We start from the raw sequence: 2,763 nt of genomic DNA on the forward strand, positions 1-2,763 counted from the left end.
GATCAACAACATGTGGTTCATCCATACAATAGTATATTATTTGACAGTAAAAAGAAATGAGCTATTAAGCCACAAAAATAGGTGGAAGAACCTTAAATGCATATTTCTAGGCAAAAGAAGTCCGTTTGAAAGGAATACACACTATATGATTCTAACTATATGACATTCTGGAAAAAGCAAAACTATAGAGATAGTAAAACGATCAGTGACTGCCAGGGTTTAGAAGGAGGAGAGGGATGGATAGGTGGAGCATAGGGAATTTTTAGGGTATTATTGTATAATGTATATTCATGACATTGTGCATTTGAGGGAACATAGAGAACTATATAACACAAAGAGTGCATCTTAATACAAACTTTGAACTTTAGGTAATGATAACAAATCAATATTGTTTCATTAACTGTAACAAATGTATTATACTAAAGCAAGATATTAAAAACAGAGGAAACTTTGTATATGTGTGACAGGGAGAGCTTATATGGGAACTCTGTGCTACCTGTCAATTTTCTGTAAACCTAAAAAGTAAATTTTATTATAAAACAAAAACTAATTGATAAGCAATTTACAAGTAAAAAACTAAGAGATAGACAAATGTGCAATCACAGTAAGACACATTAACATACCTTGGTAACTGACAGAACAAGCAGAGCAAAATGCTCAGTGAGGACATAGAAAATCAGTAAAAACACAATTCAAGAAAACCTGATCTAACTGACATATGTACAACACAGTGCCAACAGTGGCAGAATACACATTCTATTAAGTGCATGTAGAACAAAATTGATTACAAGCAGAAACATAAATATCAATATACATATTTTTTGAGAGTCTAATCTCCTCTAATTACTCAAATAATCTTATTTTTGACTGCACTTGGACTTAGGGTAGAAGCTTGCAGAAAGGACAGTCTGCATCTCTGGGCAATCTGTTCCTGGCATTTTTCTTTGGCTTCCTTCATTGTCTTGGCCAAAAGTTTAGCCTATTCTGTGGCCGCTTTTTTATTTTTCTTAATACTTTGTTTCTTCAGAGCAATACACTGGTGTTTGTGTTGCAGGACACGTGGAATAACAAGATGCTGACTCTTGGGTGCTTTGGTCCTGGGTTTCTTACCTTTTTTGTCTAAAAGGTTTCTTACAACATATTGGAGGATGTCATCTTGTTTAGGCAGATTAAAAAGACTCTGGATTCTGCTAGCTCCTTTGGGCCCCCAGGTAATGAGGTACCATAGTATCAGTCAGTACAGGAACATTATTCTCTCCTTTTTAAAATTTTACAATAACCAAGTTGAGAACATTCAGACTGACATCCACAATGCAACCTCGAACAGATTTGTGCTTTTTTTCTCCAGTTCTCCTTGGTCTATAACAGGAATGCCCCTTTCTCAGTAGCAGGCAGACACAGCCATGGGTCAAGACACACTACTGCATGGGGAAACCTTGTTTGTCCTTCCCACCACTGACTCAGACCACATAACCACTCTATTCTTCACTCAGAGTGTTAGCAGCAACTTCTGTTACCACACACTTCTCATAAAAAGTATGAAATTTGCATTCATCATCCATTTCAATGAGTTTCTGGAAGCCAGTGGCTGGGAAGGACATATTCAGTTTCATCTTGAAGCAGTTGATCACCTCTGAGGTGTCATGAAAAGGTGCTCAATATATTTTAAATGAACAATTTCATTCAGGCTGTGCTGGAATCAAGCACAAAAGAATGCTAAAACATCCCCAATTACTTGGAAATTAAGCAACATATTTTGAAACAATCCAGGGATTGAAGGTAGAATCACAAGTAATATTATGAAATATTTCAAACTAATGAAAATGAAAATACGATATAAAATTTTGGAGGATGCTAATAAAACTGTGGTTAAGGGGAAATTTTTAGGTCTAAATGCATACATTAATAAAAGATGGAAGGCTGAAAAATCTCAGTATCACTCTCAGAAAGAACATTCAATAGATCCCAAATGAAACTGAAGGAAAAAATAATAAAGAACAAAATTAATGAAGCAGAAAATATAAACACAAAAGATTCAAAGAGCCAAAAGTTGAATGTTTGAAAAGGTGAATAACATTGTTAAATCTCTAGCAAGAAGAAAAGAGGAGAAATTAAAAAAAAATCAATAGCAGAAATAAAAAGGGAGATTGCCACAGGTCATTCAGAGATTTGGAAAGATAACAAGAGAATATACTGAAGAATTATATTCCTGAAAATTTGGAAATGTAGACGTAGGGGACAAATTTCATAAAAGCCCATTTGTAAAAACCTGGTACAGTAAGAAATAGAGAATCGGAATGGTCTTATTTCATTTAAAGGAATTGAATGTGCAATAAAGAACTCTTTCACAAAGAAATATCTAGGCCCAGCTGTCATCTTCTCCAGTAAATTCTTTTAAATCTTGAAGGAATAAATAAGAATTTTATGCAAATGCTTGCAGAAAGTTAAAAAGAAGAGGAAACATTTTCAAATTTGTTTTATGAGGACAACATACACTTAATACCAAACTTAACACATACAGGACCAGAAAAGAAAGTTACAGGAAAATCTCAGGAGCATAAATGAAAAGTCTAAACTAAAAATTAGTAAATAACTCTAGTGATGTATATGTGTGCATGTGTGTGTGGGGGAGGGGTAGGTAGACAGGTGACTGGTTTTATTTTAGGAATAAAGTTTGCAAACAGAATTTGTGAAGTTTGTTTATATTTAATAACCAATCAATGTTATTTACCACATTAACAGAATAGGGGAGAAAAAGAATAT

The 2,763-nt window shown here is 34.0% G+C and overlaps 1 pseudogene; it reads right to left on the minus strand.

The window, feature by feature from the left end:
* RPS6P15 (ribosomal protein S6 pseudogene 15) lies at window positions 848–1,613 on the minus strand (annotated as a pseudogene).

Source organism: Homo sapiens, chromosome 10 (assembly GCF_000001405.40).
Source record: "Homo sapiens chromosome 10, GRCh38.p14 Primary Assembly".
NCBI classification, from domain to species: Eukaryota; Metazoa; Chordata; class Mammalia; order Primates; family Hominidae; genus Homo; species Homo sapiens.